The following is a 2,264-nucleotide window of genomic DNA, read 5'->3' on the forward strand; positions in this document are numbered from 1 at the left end:
TTTGTTGAGGAATTTTGCATTGATGTTCATCAAGCATATTGGCCTGAAGTTTTCCCTTTTTTGTTGTATCTCTGCCAGGTTTGGTATCAGGATGCTGCTGGCCTCATAGAATAAGTCATGGAGGAGTCCCTCTTTTTCAATTTTTTTTTGGAATACTTTTAGTATGAATGGTACCAGCTCTTCTTCATACCTCTGGTATCCCATTACTGGGTGTAAGCCCAAAGGAATATAAATTGTTCTATTACAAAGAAACATGCTCTCATATGCTCATTGCAGCACTATGCACAATGGCAAAGACATGGAATCAACCTAAATGTCCATCAGAGATAGACCGGATAAAGAAAATATTGTTACATATACAACATGGAATAGTATGCAGCTATAAAAAATGAGATCATATCATTTTTAGGGACATGGATGGAGCTGGAGGCCATTATTCTTAGCAAACGAATGCAGGTAGTTATGTGTGGGAAATGAATGATGAGAACACATGGACATATGCGGTGGTCGCGGGGGCGGTGGAACAGAACACACTGAGGTCTGTTGGAGACAGAGTAGGAGGTAGGAGGAGGGAGAGCATCAGAAAGAATAGCTAATGGATTCTAGGCTTAATACCTGATGATTGGAAGATGTGTACAGCAAACCATCATGGCACACAGTTACCTATATAACAAACCTGCACATGTACCCCTGAATTTAAAATAAAAGTTGGAAATAATAGCAATAATAATAAAGAAAAAAAATTTCCTATTTTTTGACCACCCCATCCAACATCCTACCTGAGTAGACTCACATACACAGTAAAAAAATTACATTGTACTAAATAAATATTGTTTGTTAAACAATTTCTGTAGACTTTCATAACGTACAATAGAATTAGTTACTGATATAGGCAGTCATCTCTTGTTATCAATAGGAGATTTGTTTCAGGACAATCCAATCCCCCACCATACCTCACCCACCTCCTATAGATACCCAAATCTGGGAACGCTCAAGTCCCTTATATAAAATGGTATATTTTGCAACTGCTCTCTAGCCTAGGCAATAGAGCAAAACTCTGTCTCAAAAAATTGTATAGCATTTGCATGTAACCTATGAACATTCTTCTGTAGATTTTGAATTATCTCCAGATAATTTACAATACCTAATACTATGTAAGTGCTGTGTAAGTAGTAGTTATACATTTTTATTTGTATTATTTTTATTATTTTTTATTATTTCATTGGTTTTTATTTAATTTTTAAAAATTTTTGATCTGAGGTTTGTTGAATTCTCAAATGCAGTACACATGGGTATAAAGAGCTGACTGTACACACACACACACGTGTGTGTATGTAAAATGTAAAATATGCAAAATGTAAAAAAGTAAAAATACTTTTATATCTTGGCAACACTTTTAAAGGGCACAGAAAAATTTGATTTCATTATTATAGTTATTATCGTTTCAATGATTACTGAGATTATTTTAAAACATTTAAGCTTGCACATTAATTTAAAGTTTGAAATATGCAATATATAGTCAAAAGAGTTAACATTCTTGTGAGATGTATTGTTATGAGCTGAATTCTATTCCCCAAAATTTATAGGCTGAAGCCCCTAAATCTCCACTGCATTAGAATGTTACCATATTGGGAGGTAGGGCCTTTAAAGAGATATTAGGTGAAAAGGAAGCCATTTCATTAAAGGATGACTTTGTGAATATACAGCAAGAGGATGATCATTTTCAAGCCACAGCAAGAGATGCCTTAGAGGAAACCAAATGTGGCAGTGCCTTAACCTTACACTTCAAGACCTCCAAAAATGTGGAAAACTAAGTTCTTCTTCTTTAAGTCCCTCAGTGCTTGGTATTTTCTTATTGCAGCCCTAGCAAACTAATATACCCATACACTGGAAAACAAAACATTACAGATAGAAATTGAACTTGAAATCAGTTTGATGTATTCAATCTTCTTGAATACAAAAATTCCATATTAAGATATCAGTTCCCTCCAAATTGACTTATAGGTTCAATGCAGTCCTAAGCCAAATCTAAGCTAGCTGTTTAAAAATAGAAATTAACAAGTTAACTTTTAAATTTGTATAAAAATGCAAAGGATTTAAATAGCTAAAGCAATTTTGAAGAGAGTTACTAAGTTGGATGAGCTTTTATTACCTGAATTCAAAACATAATAATGATTCTTTAACCAAGATAATGATATATTTGCATAAGCACAGACATTTAAATCAACAGAATTCAGAAATTGATCCATGAATACAGCCAATTA

This window comes from Homo sapiens, chromosome 4 (assembly GCF_000001405.40).
Source record: "Homo sapiens chromosome 4, GRCh38.p14 Primary Assembly".
In the NCBI taxonomy this organism is placed as follows: Eukaryota; Metazoa; Chordata; class Mammalia; order Primates; family Hominidae; genus Homo; species Homo sapiens.